At 58.1% G+C, this 18,766-nt stretch overlaps 1 protein-coding gene across 3 annotated transcripts in view, besides 1 other annotated feature; it reads left to right on the forward strand.

Annotated features, from left to right (window-relative positions):
- The window catches only part of DAB2IP (DAB2 interacting protein), a 218,457-nt gene that overhangs the window by 191,107 nt on the left and 8,584 nt on the right, over nucleotides 1–18,766 (forward strand). For all 3 annotated transcript variants that reach the window (NM_032552.4, NM_001395010.1, NM_138709.2), the window contains 10 exons: nucleotides 718–816; nucleotides 1,705–2,259; nucleotides 5,325–5,469; nucleotides 5,555–5,699; nucleotides 8,314–8,550; nucleotides 10,252–10,453; nucleotides 12,366–12,544; nucleotides 14,427–15,315; nucleotides 16,080–16,232; nucleotides 18,018–18,211. In NM_032552.4, the coding sequence (NP_115941.2) occupies nucleotides 718–816; nucleotides 1,705–2,259; nucleotides 5,325–5,469; nucleotides 5,555–5,699; nucleotides 8,314–8,550; nucleotides 10,252–10,453; nucleotides 12,366–12,544; nucleotides 14,427–15,315; nucleotides 16,080–16,232; nucleotides 18,018–18,211 (2,798 nt within the window). The remainder of the gene's footprint in view (nucleotides 1–717; nucleotides 817–1,704; nucleotides 2,260–5,324; nucleotides 5,470–5,554; nucleotides 5,700–8,313; nucleotides 8,551–10,251; nucleotides 10,454–12,365; nucleotides 12,545–14,426; nucleotides 15,316–16,079; nucleotides 16,233–18,017; nucleotides 18,212–18,766) is intronic.
- Nucleotides 5,550–5,844: a silencer, noted in NCBI's record as "tiled region #3775; K562 Repressive non-DNase unmatched - State 21:Repr". NCBI's record gives its function as "represses a minimal TATA promoter and a strong SV40 promoter by Sharpr-MPRA in K562 cells {active_cell/tissue: K562}" and the evidence as "EXISTENCE:reporter gene assay evidence [ECO:0000049][PMID:27701403]".

An 18,766-nucleotide genomic window follows, 5' to 3' on the forward strand; every position in this document is an offset into this window, starting at 1 on the left:
CTGCTGCTGGGGACAGTGGAAACACACAGCAGGAATTGCCCGGACTGGCTCCCTTACCTGGCAGGAGATGTCTAAGCTGGACCAGAGGTTGAGTGAGAGTCAGACAGAGAGGGAAGGAGAAGGGTCAGGGACTGGGGACCCTAGGGCCTGGCACATCCAGACAGTCCGAGTCTCATTTCTCCAGTCTGGCATAAAAAATATCAGGCTTATATTACCATTGTTGTCACTGCTGCTTGACGGAAGAGAACCCTCAGAGTTGTCAGCTGAGGACTGAGGGGATTCTGGTACCTACCTTTAGTTGTCTCCTTGGTTCTTGTGGTTCCGCCTTTAGGGAAAGTACGCTCGGGTTAAGCATTGCCCTCTGACCTGGGCAAGGTCTTCGTTCATTCCCTCTTCCCATCTCAGGGAGAGGGAGGTTAGAGTTAGGAAGATGCTTTCCTATTGGACAGAGGGCACTGAGGGACGAGTGAGGAGCCTGCTCGTGCAGGATGGGGCCACTCTCCGGCTGCTGACTTGCCCTGGGACAGTGGCTCTCAAGTGTACCACCTGCAAAACATGAAGTAGAGGCGTCATATGAGCCTTGTCCTGGCTCCTTCCTGAAGCTGTGATGCAGACCTGATGGCCAGAGTCCCCTGAGCCTCCAAGGTCTTCTTCCATCACTGCCTGCCCTTGCTGTGGTCCCTTCCCTCATAACACTGTCTTGCCTGCTCCCCACAGGTGACGACGTCATCAGGAAGCAAGTGCTTTTCCTGCCGGTCTGCAGCTGAGCGGGATAAGTGGATGGAGAACCTCCGGCGAGCGGTGCATCCCAACAAGGTAAGCCTGCGCCCCTCTCACCAAAGCATGGGGGATTGAAGGTAGGCTCAGATAGGAGGAAACAAGAGAGACTATCTCTGTGGTGTGGGCTGGGATTGGGGGTGGTCAGCCTGCATGGAGGCAGGGCCCGAGTGGACAATATTGGTGGACTCTGAAAGAGACGTTTGAGTTGACCAGGTTGAGACAGGTGCTGTGTGCCTCTGTTTTCTAAGCTACACATTGAGGCTGGGCTTGGGGAAATGAGTGCTGGACCCTGGGGTCCTTCTGCTGGGACCCCTTGTCCCTACTCCCCAGCCCCTGGCTGAGTTCTGCTCATCTTCCCCTTCCACCTTAGATGTCTGCCCCTCCTCCAGGTGAGGACCCCTGTCCCAGGCTGGTGCCCTCTGTGTTCCCACTGCCCCTGGGCTCCCCCATTAGGTCCTGGGAGCCCCCACTGTAATCCCTGCTTCTGTATCTGTCTCCCTAGCCGACTTGAGGGCTTGACCAAGTCCTGGTCACCATAGCCATCTCTTAAGTTACAGTACAGACCAGCATATTAAGGAAGAGTTAATAATGGCATAGCCTGTGACGTGTCAGGCGTTGTGCTGGCCTCTCTCAGTCTCGCCCTCTATGAGATGGGGGTTTTACCTTAGTGCCGTTTCATAGACAAGCAACCCAAGGCTCCAGTTAAGTTGCTTGCCCAAGGTGAGTGAGCTTCTGTGAGGTCGACCAGAGATCCAGCCCTTGTCCATCATGCCCTGCCTCATCCTGACTTAGGGCCTAGGCGCCCGCTGCCGCCTCCACCTTCAGAGCTCCTCCTGGGTCTGAGGACTCTCTCAGGCTCTGGGCTGGTTGGGGGTTGCACGTGGCACCCCCAGCTGACCACCCTGGACCCCCGTGCACATACAGGACAACAGCCGGCGTGTGGAGCACATCCTGAAGCTGTGGGTGATCGAGGCCAAGGACCTGCCAGCCAAGAAGAAGTACCTGTGCGAGCTGTGCCTGGACGATGTGCTCTATGCCCGCACCACGGGCAAGCTCAAGACGGACAATGTTTTCTGGGGCGAGCACTTCGAGTTCCACAACTTGCCGCCTCTGCGCACGGTCACTGTCCACCTGTACCGGGAGACCGACAAGAAGAAGAAGAAGGAGCGCAACAGTTACCTGGGCCTGGTGAGCCTACCTGCTGCCTCGGTGGCCGGGCGGCAGTTCGTGGAGAAGTGGTACCCGGTGGTGACGCCCAACCCCAAGGGCGGCAAGGGCCCTGGACCCATGATCCGCATCAAGGCGCGCTACCAAACCATCACCATCCTGCCCATGGAGATGTACAAAGAGTTCGCTGAGCACATCACCAACCACTACCTGGGGCTGTGTGCAGCCCTCGAGCCCATCCTCAGTGCCAAGACCAAGGAGGAGATGGCATCTGCCCTGGTGCACATCCTGCAGAGCACGGGCAAGGTGAAGGTGCGTGCAGGCCCCTCGGCTCCTGACACAGGCTGGGCGGCAGCACTGGGTTACCTGCCCTTCCTCACATCCGTACATTTCAGGCCTAACAGAGGCCTTGGAGGCACCGGTCACTACCAGAAGGGCTCCCTAAACCCAAAAGTTCTATCGTGGGCTGGGGGTTTTGTACTCCTGCTCTGTGGCTGGAGCTGATCACTGAGGCCTGTGTGGAGCCAGTGGATGGGATTGCAGCTGGTAGTGAGGGAGTGGGCTTGGGTTGAGGTGCCTTCCACCACTGCTGCAGAGGACCGACCCCCTGAGGCGCCAGGGGAACAGGCTGGGTGGCCACGGCTCTCCCAGCACACAGGTCCCACAACGCCACCAGCCGCAGTGAGCCAAACACACGTCCCCTGTGGGGTATGGAGTTCGGCAGACCTCCCCAGCACGATGCACAGATGAGCCTCCCTCACAGCTCTACCTCACCCCACACTCTCACCCAGACACACAGATTGTCACACAGGTAGACACAGTCAAAATTGTACTATTCGAGGGTTAGCCAGCCCCACCCCAGAGCCTCACAGAAGCGGGAATCGTCTGAGACCCACCCAGGCAAGTCCTAGTTCAGGGCCAGAGGTGCTCAATGTCCATCTCCATGACCCCTTTCACCTTCCGCTCCCGAAGATGGGCCCAGCAGCCCACCATGCAAGCCGTGCCTCAGCCCCACCTACCCGGTTTGGGGACAAATGGGCTCCTGGACCAGGGTGCCCCTAGGAAGGCAGTAGAGCATGGTCTGTGGGCCTCGAAGGCGACCTTCTCTCTTTACATTTGCCACCTGCCATTCAGGAAGCTGGCCAAAGAGGGTGGGAAAAAGGGGCTGGACTTGAGGCCTCTGCAGCGTGGATGGACCCTGGTGCTGGGCTAAGGACTGGGCCTCTGCCCTCTGGACAGTGGCGTGTTGTGAGCCAAGTGGCAGGTGGCTGAGGGGCACCCTGTGTCAAGGTCCTAGGCCCTTAGCTCTGGGTCGGGGAGGCACAGTTGGGAGCCATACCCCAGGGCAGAGTCCAGGGCACAAGACTCGTGGAGGTCCCTCACCCTCTCACCTGTTCCTAGAGGCCCTGGAAGGGGAGGCCATGGCTGGAAGCCTCAGCAGCCTCTGCAGCCCCCCTCCCTCTTGCACTTGCTGTATGCTGCAAGTGCAGGGCTGGGGCGGGGACCTCCTCCCCATGGACCCGCGATGGGGAGCAGTTTTCCTCTGTAGTGCTCAGCTACCTCCTCCCTCACCTTCTCCCCCAGCCTTCAGACTTGGCTGGCTAGGCTGCACGTTGGGCCAGCTCTGGCTGCCCCGTCCTTAACATGCTGGTCAACACTGGGGACGTATGCTGGGAAACGGAATGAATCAAGGACCCATGGGCACCAGAGAGGGAGTGATGGGGGCTGCAGAGGCTGCATTATTTTCTGCAGTTGTGTCTGATGTTTCAGTACCTGGTTCCCAGGGCTGGGCTGGGGCTGGCCTGGGAAGCGGATTCCTCCCTGAAGCAGCCTGAAATGATAGGTATGTCCAGGTGCTCGTGGAGGGAGGTGAAGTCAGGGCTGCAGCCAACCCCAAAGGCCCTCAGTGGGATTGGGGAGCAGTAGATAGAAGCATAGAAAGTAACTTGTGCTGCTGGGGTGACAGGTACCTAAGCCCCCACCCCTGGAATACTTGGGAACTAGCCCCTCTTCCGTCTCCACGGCTAGAGGAGTAACGGAGTCTGGGAAGCAAGGGACTTGGACCAGATCTGGCCCCAGGTGGCTGTGTGGCCTTGGACAAGTCATTTTCCTGCTGTGTGTGCATTGGTTTCCCCCTTATTGGGTCCTGGCTCTCAGGAAGTTCTCATCCCAGCACTGGGGCCTGGCTCTCATTGCGGGAGTTCAGGAAGGCTGCAGTCCTGAGCGGGAGCCCTGGAGGAGCCCCGGGGGAGATGCACCTCTGACCCCCGCTTTAGTGTATTCAGAGAATGAGACCCTGGAGGTCGCCTGCTGGTCAGGAAGGGGTCCTCAGGCCACATGATCCCCAGGAAGCCAATGACAGCTTCCCCTTTGCCCCTGCTGTCCCTCTGTGCCTCTGCTGTGCACCCTGGGTTCCTGTGTCTAGATCTCAGTTCTGTTTTAAAGGACCCCAAGGTCGTGCATGTCGGAGTGAGGAATTTCTTGAGCACAGATGCCTGGGTCCACCCCTCCTGGGCACCTTGCAGGCTCTGTGCTAGGTGGCCCCCTGCCCTGACTGTCACCCTCCCTTGAAACTATGACAGTTTTTCCTATTTTCTTCCCCTCCCCCAAGCCACAGGTTAGTTGTGAGCACAAGGAGGTGGGGGCTTCTGAGGGAGGGTGTTAGTATCTGCATGGTTGCTAGAGTAGGGGGAAGGTGTGGGTTCGGGCTCCTGTGCTGGGGTTTTCCCACAACACTGTGTGTGGGACCTGATGGGCCTGGGGCTGCTACCCTGGATTGCCAGGTGGGCAGTGGCGCCTCCACCTTCCCTCTCCAGCCAGTTGCACATCACTTCCTGCTCTCACCTGCCTGAGCATGGTGGCTCACGACCTCCCCGGGCAGTGGGGCTGCACAGAAGGCATCTGTGTCTGGTGTGGGAGCCCCCACCAGAGTCATAGGTGGATACTGATGGCCATTCTTACCATGAGACAGGGCAGCCTCATTTGTCCTCTTTGGCACTGATGGTGCGGGGAGAGGCGAGTCCTGCTGTGGTCACCAGGCCAGGCCTGATCAGGGCTGTACATGGAAATGAGTCCATTCTCTGTGGTGGTGGGGGCTTGTGGCTCCACGTGGCATGCTCTCATTCAGGCTGCCTCCATCCATAGACCCGGCTCTACTGTCACCAGTTCTAGGCTCCTACCCTGGCTGGGGGCCCCTGCCCTGCCCACACTCCCCAGCAGCCCCCAAAGGTGGGCACACTGTTCCTCTCCGGGACCCCCGCAGCTTGGTGATGGAACAGCCTCAAAATGCCAGGACTTCTCTGGCTAGGTCTGGAATCCTAGGGCCCTCCATGCCAGGCCAGCTCAGGTCCTGCTCTCTCCACCTCCTGCCTCCCCAGGACTTCCTGACAGACCTGATGATGTCAGAGGTGGACCGCTGCGGGGACAACGAGCACCTCATCTTCCGGGAGAACACACTGGCCACCAAGGCCATTGAGGAGTACCTCAAGCTAGTGGGCCAGAAGTACCTGCAGGACGCCCTAGGTAGGGAGTGGGCCAGCAGCAGGGCAGAGGGTGGGGCAGGGCCCGCCAGGTCCTCACTCCCCACTCCCTGCCCACTTGTCCATAGGTGAGTTCATCAAAGCGCTGTATGAGTCAGATGAGAACTGCGAAGTGGATCCCAGCAAGTGCTCGGCCGCTGACCTCCCAGAGCACCAGGGCAACCTCAAGATGTGCTGCGAGCTGGCCTTCTGCAAGATCATCAACTCCTACTGGTCAGTGCGGTGCCCAGGTCTCCCCACCCTGTCGCCTTCCCCATCCTGTCCTTCAGTGTCTGGCACCCGCAGTGTGCCTGATGCTGCCTGGCCCCTGAGTTGTACTGACTTGCCAGTCCCCTGGCCTAGTCCCTTTTGAGCTCTCAGGTGGGGCAGCGTTCAGCATGTTGCTGTGGTTTTGTGATGGAAAGAACCTGGACACGCCAGTCTGCCGTCTCTGGTGATGAGGGAGCGCCCTTCATGTGCCGGGGGCTATTGTGGGTGCTTGGGCTGCAGCGGGAGTGAGACTGGCAGGCCCTGTGTGGGCCCCCACTTGGGGTGGGCGGATGGCTTCACCTGAGGCTCCTCACCTGTCCGTGGGAGCTAAGGTGCTCATGTCACAGCCTTGTGATGGGGCCAAGCAGGGGCACGTTGGGGGCCTGAGCACCAGGCAGGCCTCTTGCTGGGACTAGAGAATAAACAGAAAGGACTAGACTTTGAAGTAGAACGGGGTCTGCAGACTCTGCCAGCCCCAGAAAGCAGCAGGGCATGCAGCAGTGGGCTGCTTAGACAGGCCCCTCAGCAGGACCGGAATCAGTCCCGGAGAAACTTGCGGTAAGGCCGACTTCACGGCCACCAGCTTGCTCCTGGGATATATGTGTGTGATGGCCAGCCAGCCTGGTGCCGAGTATAGCCTCGTTCTGTGGTGGCACACAGGACTGTGCGGGAGGGCCTTGCTGTCAGCCCAAGCAGTGGGTTCATATTCACCCCAGAGGAGCTGCCCAGGTTTAACCTGTGTCCCCCTCCAGCTCAGGGCTTACAGCCCCCACCCACCCAAGCCTCCGTCCACAGCCTGTTCTGACACCACTCTCTCCCCGGCCTTACCTCACTCCTTGTTAGGTTCATCTCTTTCACTCACCTGCACCTTCCCCTGCATACACTCCTGCCCTTCCTGCTCCGAGGCCACACCTGGTACCCTCTGTCGCAGCCCTGATCCCATCAGGATAGGGTTGTGCCTGTGCCTAAAACATTTCCTGTGAATGCTGGGGCACCCTGGGGGCAGGTGAGCCCACCACCTCAGGACTGGGCACACAGGAAGGCCAGAGAAGTGTTTGCTGCTCCCCAAGGACAAGAAAAGGCAGGGGGAATGGGCAGGCCAGGAGGGTTGGCACCCAGGGCCTTAGCCCCTGGGCTATACAAGGTGCTTGCCTGGGCCAAATGGGCACCTCAAGATGGGCCACAAATGTGCAGCTTTCCACACCCCTGGGCCGGTGGAGGAGAGCGACTGTAGGGCCTTGAACTCTGGGAACACACTTCCCATTCCCAGCTGGGCTGTGCTTTCCCCCTCCCCCTCTTCCAGGGGGGCTGGGCATGTGACTCAGGGAAAACATATTTGTGGACAGTGATTTTCCATTTCCTCTTTCTGGCATTTATCAGAGGCACCTCTCCATTCTGGACAAGGCCATTGATAGATGTCACCACTCAACACCTGCCCCCTGTCCAGTTCTGTGCCAGGCACTGTGAGAGCCACGGCTAAAGGTGGCTCACCTTCATTCCCCGCTAGGTGTGCCCTTGATGGGTCAGCCAGCATGCATTGCAGGAGAGCCTGCTGAGCAGGCTGCTGGGCCTGTGGGGGAAGAAATTTCAAGTTGGTCAAGCCTGTTGTAGCCTTGGGGTTTTAGCCTTACGATGGCTCTGTGAGCTTGGCAGGGCAGGCCTTGCTCTCAGTTTAGGGGAGAGAAAACCCAAGCCTTCCAGGAGGGCTAGGGCCTTGGTCAGATCACCCTGAGCTCATGGCAGAGCCAAGTGTAGACTGAGTTCACGGACCACTGGGGCCTGGCCTGCCCCAGGCTGGGAGATGCATCTTTTAGGGAAAAAAGATAGGAAACCCACTTAAGGGTTGGCCAGGTGGGCCTGACCATGGCAGGCCAGGATGCCCAGTGGAACCAGGAGCCCCATTGTCTAGGGCCAGCTCTGCCGGCTTGCTCCATCACCCTGGGGCAGTCACTACCTCCCTTTCCCTCCCCATGTAGAGAATGGAGAGCTGTGTTGTCCCACCGTGTTCAGGGGTAGTCCCATCTTCTTGATCTTTCTGAGCTTTTAGGAAATCCTGGATTCCTGTGACATTATTCAAGCAAAGGAAATTAGTCTCAAAGCCAGTGATGGGAACCCAAGGAATAGTGGTCTATTCCTGTTTTCCTCACTTCCCCCTAGACCCAGATGCCTGCTGTTTGGGTTGAAAAATGAAGTAGACACTGGCAGAGAGGTGGGGAGGGCCCAGACCAGAAGCTGGAGAGGTGGTTCAGCACTGGCCCTTGGCAGTTAATTCCGGTTAGGACGGAGAGCCAGCTCCTCATGCCTCCTCCCATCCCACCTGCCCGGCCCTTCACTGAGAACCCACTGCCCGATGGGAGCCTGGGTCTCCCTGCTCCTCCTCCTGCCTGGGCACTTGCTCCAGCCACCCTGTATTGACTGCTCTCCCCAGATGGCTGTGTCCTCAGAGCTCAGACAGCGGGGCTGACCTCACGCAGCTGGCGGGGTAGAGCCAAGGTTGGAATGCAGGTTCCTGCTCTGTGCACTCCTGTCCTGGGCCCCTGCCTGACAGCCAAGCCCACCTTTGTCTGTCCCTACACAGTGTCTTCCCACGGGAGTTGAAAGAGGTGTTTGCCTCGTGGAGGCAGGAGTGCAGCAGTCGCGGCCGCCCGGACATCAGTGAGCGGCTCATCAGCGCCTCCCTCTTCCTGCGCTTCCTCTGCCCAGCCATCATGTCGCCCTCACTCTTCAACCTGCTGCAGGAGTACCCTGATGACCGCACTGCCCGCACCCTCACCCTCATCGCCAAGGTCACCCAGAACCTGGCCAACTTTGCCAAGTGAGTGCCTCCTCCCTCACCAGGCAGAGTTGGGCAGGGCTGGTGTCCACAGGGCAGGCCCTGGGGGTGTTTCTGCCCCCAAGCTGAGCAGAGACCATAAACAGGCCCTGGTTTTGTCCCTGTCATCCTCAGTCCTTCTCCTTCCCGCTTTTTAAAAAATAAAATCTCCACACCCTGTCCTTCTACTCAAGGTATATGTCATTTTGGTATGTTTCTTAATTTTTAAAGGTGACGACATGAGACATTTTTTTCCTTCTGCTTTTTTGAATTAATGTATTATTATAAGGATTCTCACATATCCCTTAACATTCATTAAGCCCTGTTTTGAAATAAATGACTAATATTCCTCCAAGGGGGACTGGCCCATATTTCCTTAATCCATTCCCTGTGCTTGGGCACTTGGGTTGGGCACCACCATCCTGGTGTCAGGCTATCAGGATGTCTTTGCTGATAAAGCACTATTGGTGTTTTTGGCTGCATCCTTAGAGCAAGTGGGCAGAAGTAGAAGGGCTGGGTCGTCTCACTGTTGTTCATTCTCAAAACATAGATTGAGCCCCATCCTGGGGCCATCTGTGTGCTGGGCTCTGACGGCACCAAGATGAATCAGTCCTGGTGGCGCTCAGCACTTCAGCCAGGGAGACGTGTGGAATGAGCAGGAGAGCAGTGATAGACACACACGAGCCTCTTAGGAGGGCTCTCAGCTTGTTGGGAGAGGAGACAGGAAAGCCTCCAGGGTGACATGATCCCCCAACTGCATGTCAGGGTGAGGCGTTCATTGTCTCAAGAGGAGCAGAGGCTGGGCATCCCAGGGAGGGCCATGCACTGTGCCAGGTCAGGAGAAGCGGGCGATGAGACCTAAGAGGACAGCAGGGACCTGAAGGCCAGACAGGGCTGTGGGAGCCACCAGAGGGTTTTAAACAAGGGAGAGGATGGCCTTCCTCTGTTCTGGATCCTGAAAAGCTCACCCTGACAGCAGTGGGCAGATGGGTTGGAGGGAGCAGGATGGTAGCCAGGAGACGTGAAAGGAGAGCATAGCTGTGGTTCCAGCAACAATAGCAGAAAATTCGCAGGGAGGGGAGCGGGTACAGGAGGCAGTGGCTGCAAGGGACAAGGTTAGGGGTGATTAGAAGGCAAAATCAGTGGGCCGTGCCATTTGGGAATGAGGAAGAGGGAGGAGTTGACAGCTGCCAGAGATTCTGTCTCAGGTGTATCTGTATGGGTAGTGGGGTCTCCACTTAGGGTAGGGAGCTCAGGAGGAGGGCATGGGTTTGGGTGTTGATGATGACTTCAGGTGTGGCAGGCTGAGTAGGAGGGACTCCCAGGGGTGGTGCCTGCAGATATATTAATACATGCCTGAAAGCTCATTGGGAGACCTGGGTTGAGCAGGGATTGAGCATCATCTGCATACCAGGGCAGTGAAACTTGGAGGAAAAGCCGAAGGACACTGTTAACAGGCAGTGTATGGGGGACACAGAACATTCCAGGTCCTGAGATAAAAGGTTCAGAAAAGGATCGCTGGACTTACCATGAGCAAGGAGGGCCCTGGTGACCTGGGTCAGAGCATATTCAGCTGACTTGGGGAGTGAATGGAGTGGGAGCCTGCCATAGTGGGGAAAGCGGGTGGTGGTGTCCCAGTGGAGGGAGTTCCTGGGCAGGGCCTGCCTGGGCCCAGTAGTGCTCACCCAACTGCCCTCTCTCCAGATTTGGCAGCAAGGAGGAATACATGTCCTTCATGAACCAGTTCCTAGAGCATGAGTGGACCAACATGCAGCGCTTCCTGCTGGAGATCTCCAACCCCGAGACCCTCTCCAATACAGCCGGCTTCGAGGGCTACATCGACCTGGGCCGCGAGCTCTCCAGCCTGCACTCACTGCTCTGGGAGGCCGTCAGCCAGCTGGAGCAGGTGCCTGTTGCCGTGGGGCGGAGGTGGGGCCAAAAGCTGCCATCAGGCTTTTAGTGTTCCCCCTTCCAGAGTAACCATGGAGGGCAGAGAGTTTGCCCAAGTGGCATGATCAGGCCAGGTCCTGTCAGAACACACTGGGGATCTGTGGGCCCCATTTTCTCTGTGGGCAAATGCTATGTTCACTCAGCAGTATCTGCCAAGGCTGCCCCACTCTGGGTACTAGAGCTGGGGTGTTCCGCATGCACTCAGCCTTTAGTGGACAAGCGCCACTGTGCTGCCTGCCAGAGCATGTGAGAAATAGAATTGGATCGTGAATCCGCCTGTATGAAGAAGATGACTCAAGACCCTGTACCTCCACTTGTCCAGCAGGAAGTCGAAAACCTTTCTAGGATTGCCCTTGACCATCAGTTGACAAGGTTACTCCCTAGACACCTCTGACACTGCTGCAGTCACCTGAAGTGAGCCCTCCCTAGCCCGAGACTTCACTGACCCCCAGCCTCAGCCCACACAGTGAGCAACTAGTTCTTGGACTTAAGGGCTGGGTCTACCAGGAACTACTTCCCGAATATCTGTTGCTTTCTAGGGCTCCAAGGGACCACCTTACTTTTGTAAGGTGCTGAAACTGGCCTGGAAGGCCCTTCATGCCTCCTGGTCCCATTCCCTAGAGGTGACCGCTCAGAGCACTGGTATGCAGCCTTCTGGACACGATCTGTGCATGTGTAAGCGCACACACACATGCAGGCGCACACACATAGAGCTCTTTTCCTTCTTCAGTTTGTTTTAAAGCAAGAACATACTGTGTATGCTGCTGTGTGCATTTCTTACCACTGTGTTGTGGGCCTCTTTGCTTGTCAGTGCAATCTCCACCACCCCCAGGGACTTTTTAATGACTGCATTGTATGAATGCTATTTATTTCACCAGTCCCCTATTGATGGACACTTAGGTTAGTCCTGACTTTTCACTAGAAATAGGTCCTGTTGCAATCAAAGGCCATCATTTTTGCTCATTTGTATCCACTTGCCTTTGGCTGTGAGAGACACAGGAGGGAGAAATGGAAATGAGGGCTGAGACCCTACATTCCACCTGTTCCAGTCCCTGCACTGCAGCCAACACTAGTCACTGTCACTGCCACCACTTACCTTTCCCCTGTGCTGTCCACGTATCTGCACAACCAGGCAGGAAGAATGGAAGGTGATCAGTATTGTCACATCGGTGATAGGGTGCAACAGGGATTTGAAACTCAACTGTTTGCCTCTCAATTGCGTGCTCTATTGCCTGCATGAGTTTTCACACTTTGTTTTCTCACAGAGACCTCTGTGGAAGCTTGTGCATAAACAGGTGAAGGCAGTGTCCCCAAAGCCTAGAATCCTCTGCCCCTTAAGTTCTCTAAAGCGTGCCAGCAAGGTTCAGATGGGTTCAGGCACTGCCTTCTGCCTGACCAGCACCTGAGGGTGCCTGCAGTGTGCTTGGACCATCTCCACTGGGGCTCAGGTGCCAAGGTGGGTCAGGCCCCAGCCCATCCCGTGGAGTAAGTGATGTGAGAGGGGCTGTCACAGAAGCCTCTGGATGGAGAGGTGGAGGTGTGGAAATGCTGGGATTCCATGTGTGCTTTCCTCTCTGCGGAGGCACCAGGGCAGGGCAAACTGAAGGAGAGGCTTGCACTAGGTCAGCGTCTCCCACTGTGGGCCTCCTACTCCTGCCCTAGAAATGTCCGGGAGCTGGTTAAAAATGTAGATTTACCGATTCCTGGGCTCACCCCCCTCCCAGACCCAGTGGCTCTGACTGGCAGCAGGTGGGGATCTGCACTTCTGACAGGCTCCGCAGTGGTTTTGAGCCATAGTGGCTGCAGCACATACAGCCTACCCATGTGGTCCCAGGAGGTCACACCTGCCTCTTGCTGTGCCTTTACAGAGCATAGTATCCAAACTGGGACCCCTGCCTCGGATCCTGAGGGACGTCCACACAGCACTGAGCACCCCAGGTAGCGGGCAGCTCCCAGGGACCAATGACCTGGCCTCCACACCGGGCTCTGGCAGCAGCAGCATCTCAGCTGGGCTGCAGAAGATGGTGATTGAGAACGATCTTTCCGGGTAAGAGCTGCCAGCCATGTTGGGTGTGGTGGGTGCGTGTGCAGACTAGGCACAGCCCATCTGTAATCTCAGATGGGGAAAGAGGATGCCTACATAGTGTTTATAAAACAAGCCTGGCAAGACTTGAGTTGTACAGGTCCTAAGTGGTGAACCTCCATTTGGGAAAAATCAGGGAAGCCTTCCTAGAGGAGGTGATGCTATAGGTTTGTTTTGTTTTGGGAAAAGTAGCATTTCCATTGGTGGAAAAGGCATTCTAGACAGAGGGACAAGCACAAGCAAAGACATGATGTGTCAGAGAATAATTGCTGGTCCCAAATACCCCCAGCATTTCCAGATCCCCTGATATTTGTTAAAAATACACATGTTCCTGGTATTTCCTGAGCCTGAGTCAGAATCTCCAGAAGTGTTTAGTTGGGGGTGTTTTCAATAGGAATTCGGTGGCTCTGCCAGGCTTTGAGGCTGGGAACAGCAGAAAACATAAAGTGATGCTGAGACCCAGTCCTGGGGTCTGCTCTGCCTAAATAAGACACACACGGCAGAGTGGAAGGCAAAATGTTCTTGTTTAAGTCAAAATAGAGACATTTCTATCAGTTCATGTTGAAGCATTTCTGCTCTACCCCTACTCTCCCCTCTCCCGCCAGTGATCCTTCTTACCCCAGCATGTGAGGCCGCAGCTGTAGCAGCAGAGTTGGGAGTGTGGTCTCCCCCAAGGTGGTGGCAGGGCAGGCTTTTAAGCAGGGGAGGGTGCTGAGATCAAGAACCTGGGGTTAGGGGAGCCCAGGAGGGGCCAGAGATGCAGGTCCACTGAGTCTTGCATTGGGTCTGTTCAGTGAGTGTGCCAAGTGAAGACAAGCAGAGTCACATGCCAAGAGTTTGGAGTGGGGGGTGCAGTAGACAGCCCTTGAGAGGCTGAGAGGCAGCCGGGCCCGTGAGTTCTGAAAAGACTGACCTGGTGTGTGGCCTGGGCAGCCAGGCCCCCACTGCTCTCCGTCTTTCCTGGCTCATCTGCTGCTCTAGCCAGTTCTCCCAGGCCCGTGAGCACTGCAGCCCATCTCAGGGAGTGGCACTTCCTCTCCGTCTGAGGCTAAGCCAACCCATTCCCCATTCCAAGCCATATCAAGCCCCCCAAGTCCTTGCAGCCTTCAGTTCCCCCCACCCACATTCTTCTCTCCAAAGCCCCCCTGGACCCCGCCACAGTTGTGCTTTCTTCCAAGGAGCTAGCTTCTGGGGAGGGGCCAGGGAGAGGCCAGAGAAAAGCGTAGAATGAGGAGGAGGCCAGGGCAAGTGCAGCCCTCCCACCAAGTCATGCTCTCCACAGAGCCTGCTCTCATTCCTTGTTTTTGCCAGGAACTCCAGCCCCCGCCTGCCAGTCAAACAAGGGAGCGGCAGCAGGAGGCTGGGCAAGAGGAGGTTTCACCGGGCCCCCACTTCAGTTACCAGTCTGATTAGGAACAAGAGGGAAGAGGCAGAGGGAACCCAGTGACTCTGAAGTTGGGGTTCTCAATGCAGGATCCGTGGATAGCAGAGAGCCACTGAGTTGTGGCTTAGGGCTTAGCTAAGGAGGAGTTTTCCAGAGCAAGCCAGGCCCCAGTACCCATTGTCCCAAGATGCAGCTGAACAGGGAAGGGGTCTTCCAGGCAGCGCGGCCTGAAATGTGCAGTGCTGGCCCCTAAAGAAGAGGTTCTGTGCAGGAGCAGCCGCCTCAGCCTCTGGTCCCCGGATTCTCCCACTCCTGCCACCCCAGCGCATCCATCTCCCCAGCGCTGGCTCAGGCTGCCAGGCCCCGGCAGGTTGGCGGGTGCTGTCGGTTTGGACCCGCCTTGGCTGCACTCACAGTTCTTCTTTTCCCCTTCTTTCCCTGTGTGTGCTTGTCTCCCTGCAGTCTGATAGATTTCACCCGGTTACCGTCTCCAACCCCCGAAAACAAGGACTTGTTTTTTGTCACAAGGTCCTCCGGGGTCCAGCCCTCACCTGCCCGCAGCTCGAGTTACTCGGAAGCCAACGAGCCTGATCTTCAGATGGCCAACGGTGGCAAGAGCCTCTCCATGGTGGACCTCCAGGACGCCCGCACGCTGGATGGGGAGGCAGGCTCCCCGGCGGGCCCCGACGTCCTCCCCACAGATGGGCAGGCCGCTGCAGCTCAGCTGGTGGCCGGGTGGCCGGCCCGGGCAACCCCAGTGAACCTGGCAGGGCTGGCCACGGTGCGGCGGGCAGGCCAGACACCAACCACACCAGGCACCTCCGAGGGCGCGCCAGGCCGGCCCCAGCTGTTGGCACCGCTCTCCTTCCAGAACCCTGTGTACCAGATGGCGGCTGGCCTGCCGCTGTCACCCCGTGGCCTTGGCGACTCAGGCTCTGAGGGCCACAGCTCCCTGAGCTCACACAGCAACAGCGAGGAGTTGGCGGCTGCTGCCAAGCTGGGAAGTTTCAGCACTGCCGCGGAGGAGCTGGCTCGGCGGCCCGGTGAGCTGGCACGGCGACAGATGTCACTGACTGAAAAAGGCGGGCAGCCCACGGTGCCACGGCAGAACAGTGCTGGCCCCCAGAGGAGGATCGACCAGCCTCCGCCCCCACCCCCGCCGCCACCTCCTGCCCCCCGCGGCCGGACGCCCCCCAACCTGCTGAGCACCCTGCAGTACCCAAGACCCTCAAGCGGAACCCTGGCGTCGGCCTCACCTGATTGGGTGGGCCCCAGTACCCGCCTGAGGCAGCAGTCCTCTTCCTCCAAGGGGGACAGCCCAGAACTGAAGCCACGGGCAGTGCACAAGCAGGTCAGTGCTGCTAGTCAGAGGGCAGGGCTGGGCACTTGGGCCCAGCTGGGGCTGTCATACCCCATACCATGCTCCTCCTCTCGGTCATTTCACCTCCACCCTCACCCAGCTGCCATCCCATCCCACCAGCCTGCCACATGCGCCACCACCCCCTCCCCCTGGCTTCTTCCTGAATCCTGTGAACCAGGGACACTGTAGCCTTGGGGAACTCCAGGCTCCTCTGTCAGTGCCCCTAGGGGCAGGCTGGGGTCAGAGAGAAAGAGGAGGAGAGTGCATTCATCTTCGGTTCCAAGCCTGTCGAAGCGCCTACCCAGCTCTGCCCCCACACGCCCCTCCCAAAATGTTTTCACAGGCTGGACAGGCCTTCAGGCACAACCACCTGGAGCATGGATGACCCTGTCACCCAAAGGCTGCAGGCAGTGTCTGGAGTGGAGGTGCCTTGGGCTGACAGCCCAGCCTGGCCCTGTCCCCCACTCAGTGCAGCCTGCCCCGGTGCCCCCAGTGGCAGGGTCACTCACTGTCCTCTTGGCAGCAGAGTGTGGTGCTCAGGAGGCCACCTGGCACCTGTCAGCTCTGCCTTTGGCTGCCGTCTGAGAGACAGTTCCCGGGTGGGGACTGCCTCGGTAGGCGCTCAGTCAGCTGGAGGTCCCCTCTTCCCACCGTGTCCCAGAGTTGCTTGTCCTTGTGGCTCACCTGGGCCACTCCCGCCCCTCCTGCTTGCCCTCCACCTCCCTGCAGCCCCTCACAGCTGTGTTTCATTGTAGGGCCCTTCACCTGTGAGCCCCAATGCCCTGGACCGCACAGCCGCTTGGCTCTTGACCATGAACGCGCAGTTGTTAGAAGACGAGGGCCTGGGCCCAGACCCCCCCCACAGGGATAGGCTAAGGAGTAAGGACGAGCTCAGCCAAGCAGAAAAGGTAAAACTGGACCCTGGCGGCTCGGGACAGGGCGGGGCTGCCTCCCGGCAGCAGCTGGTAGGAGTCTCTCCCCCAGGTCCCCCAGCAACGGGTGCTGCTGTCCTTGTGAAGGGCCCGTCACCTCTGAGCCCCTGTTCCCTGTGAGAATAGCAGTCAGTGGGGTCTGGAAGAAAAGCAACAAGAGGGATGGATTAGCAGCTTAGACCTGAGGCTTCCCATCTGCAGATTGGAATCACCAGGGAATTGTCTTGGATACAGACTCCTGGGACCTCTGGGAAGGCTCCTTAGCCCAGGCAACTGAGGCAGTTGAGCTTCCTGAGGACCTGGGGGTTGAGGGCTGAGGGTGCCCAAGTGACATATAGAAGCCCCCCTGAGGGAACTTGGTACCTGAGGAGGCAGAGGCATGGGTCCCCAGGATGGCTGGGAGAGCCACCCCAGCCTGGCCCCCAAGGCTTGTGCCTGCCCACGGCCTGGCTCTTCACCCCTCTGGTCTCCACCAGGGCCTGGGAAAGAAACAGCAGTTACCAGCTTGGGGGGTGGGGTCAGGCTGCCATTGAGATGTTTTCTTCCCCACCCCCGGGAAAAGAATCTACTCTAAAAATGAAACTCTCACTCTGCCACACACTCTGCCATCTGCTGGGGCAAGGGGATGCTTCGTTGGTCTCCCAAGCCTTCCAGCTGTGGCAGCTGCTCTGGATCTGGGGGTAGTTTTTGTCTCCTACTGCCAGCTGCAGTCCATGTAGACGGAGGAACCAGCGCAGGCCCCAGAACGGCAGGCGCTTCTCCACTCCCCTCTGGATGCTCTCGCCCCGCTGGGCCCCAGGAAAGCCTGTGGCAACCTCTCGAGCAAGGGTATTGGGGTCAGAATGGCAGAACTCCTTCTCCCCGGCCTCAGGCGAGGCCCGTCTCCATGCTGCATCCTGCCACCGCCACCATCCCCGGTCCGCTACATCCACCTGCTTTCACCATAGTTACATGAAGGGGACCGGGGGACAGGGAACACAGTGCTCCCAGAGCCAGAGTTTGGCTGGGGAGTGAGGAGGACTGGCCTCACTCCAGGCTTTTTGCATCCCTGTGTCCTCATGGCGTCTGGCCCCTCTCGATCCCGGCGTTGGCCTTTCCTCGCTCAGCGCAGAGCACCTGACTCCTCTCTGCAGCCACGCCGCTTCCCAGCCTCGTCCACATCCCTGCTCCTCCCTGATGGTTGGGGTCTGTGCTGGACTGAGGCAGATCCAGAGCCTGGACCACCTGCCTTTCAGTTCTCTCTCTCTCCATTTCCTCATGCCACTGCCACCCCCTGGCTTTAGATTCAAACAGAGGCTGGGAAGCTGGGATCTTACCCTGCTAGTCAGTCGCTCTTCATGTGACATGGTCACCTTGTCTGGGCCTCAGTTTCCCCTCCTGCAGAGCTCCCACCTCTCAGGGTGCTGTCACATGTCCTTCATGTATCCAAGGGTTTTTTAACCTTTGTCATATAAAAGTTCAAAGCCCTAGTTACACCCTCAGTCCTGGGACTTGGGTCTAAGTCTTCATCCCCGCTGTAGCCATACAGGTCAGGCTGGGAGTTTGGAGTGGAGGCCCCACGGTGGGGCACAGGCACGCGTCTGGCTGCAGCCCCCACCAGCTGGGCTCCTTGGGCATCTCCTTGCTATGTGAAGTGGGCGGGTCACAGCCACTGGGGCCTTTCAAGTGGGGCTCCCTCCTACCCTTCCTCCCACTCGGGCTGACGAAGCTGTGCTCTCTGTGTCCTGGGTGCTGTGCCCGTGGACGCTGCCCTCCTGGTAGGACCTGGCGGTGCTGCAGGACAAGCTGCGAATCTCCACCAAGAAGCTGGAGGAGTATGAGACCCTGTTCAAGTGCCAGGAGGAGACGACGCAGAAGCTGGTGCTGGAGTACCAGGCACGGCTGGAGGAGGGCGAGGAGCGGCTGCGGCGGCAGCAGGAGGACAAGGACATCCAGATGAAGGGCATCATCAGCAGGTGGGGCCCACACCTGCCTGGCCTGGCCACAGGCACAGGCAGGGCAGCCATCGCTGCCTTCGAGGAGGCCCCTGGTCGGGGAGCCTCCTCAAAGGATAAGCTGAATGTGGAGAGAGGAGGGAAGAGAGTGTCTGGGCAGTGGGAGCAGCGTGAGCACAGGCCTGGAGGCAGGAGGTGGCCTGGAGGGTGGGCAGCCCATGCAGAATACAAAGCTGGGGATGAGGCTGGACCAATGACAGCTGGCTCCCGACGGGCCTGAGCCTCTACAAGGAGCCATACCATCTTAGTAAGCACTCTCAGGGGCGCTGAGAAGCTGGATTGGGGGGTGCCAGGAAAGACAGGGAGGACCCCAATACAGGGTAAGAAAAGTGGGAATGAGTCTCAGTTACGTATAGTAGATGAAGGTGGAAGACACAGCGTAGCCCCCAGATTCCTACCAAGAGTGTCTGGGTGTGGGCGTATCAGGGTACCAGTTACTGAGCTGGGAACTGTTAAGAGGAGTGGTTTGAGTGGGGAGGGAGAGGGGGATGGTGCCAGTCTGATATCCTGAGTTTT

This window comes from Homo sapiens, chromosome 9, assembly GCF_000001405.40.
Source record: "Homo sapiens chromosome 9, GRCh38.p14 Primary Assembly".
Lineage (NCBI taxonomy): Eukaryota > Metazoa > Chordata > Mammalia > Primates > Hominidae > Homo > Homo sapiens.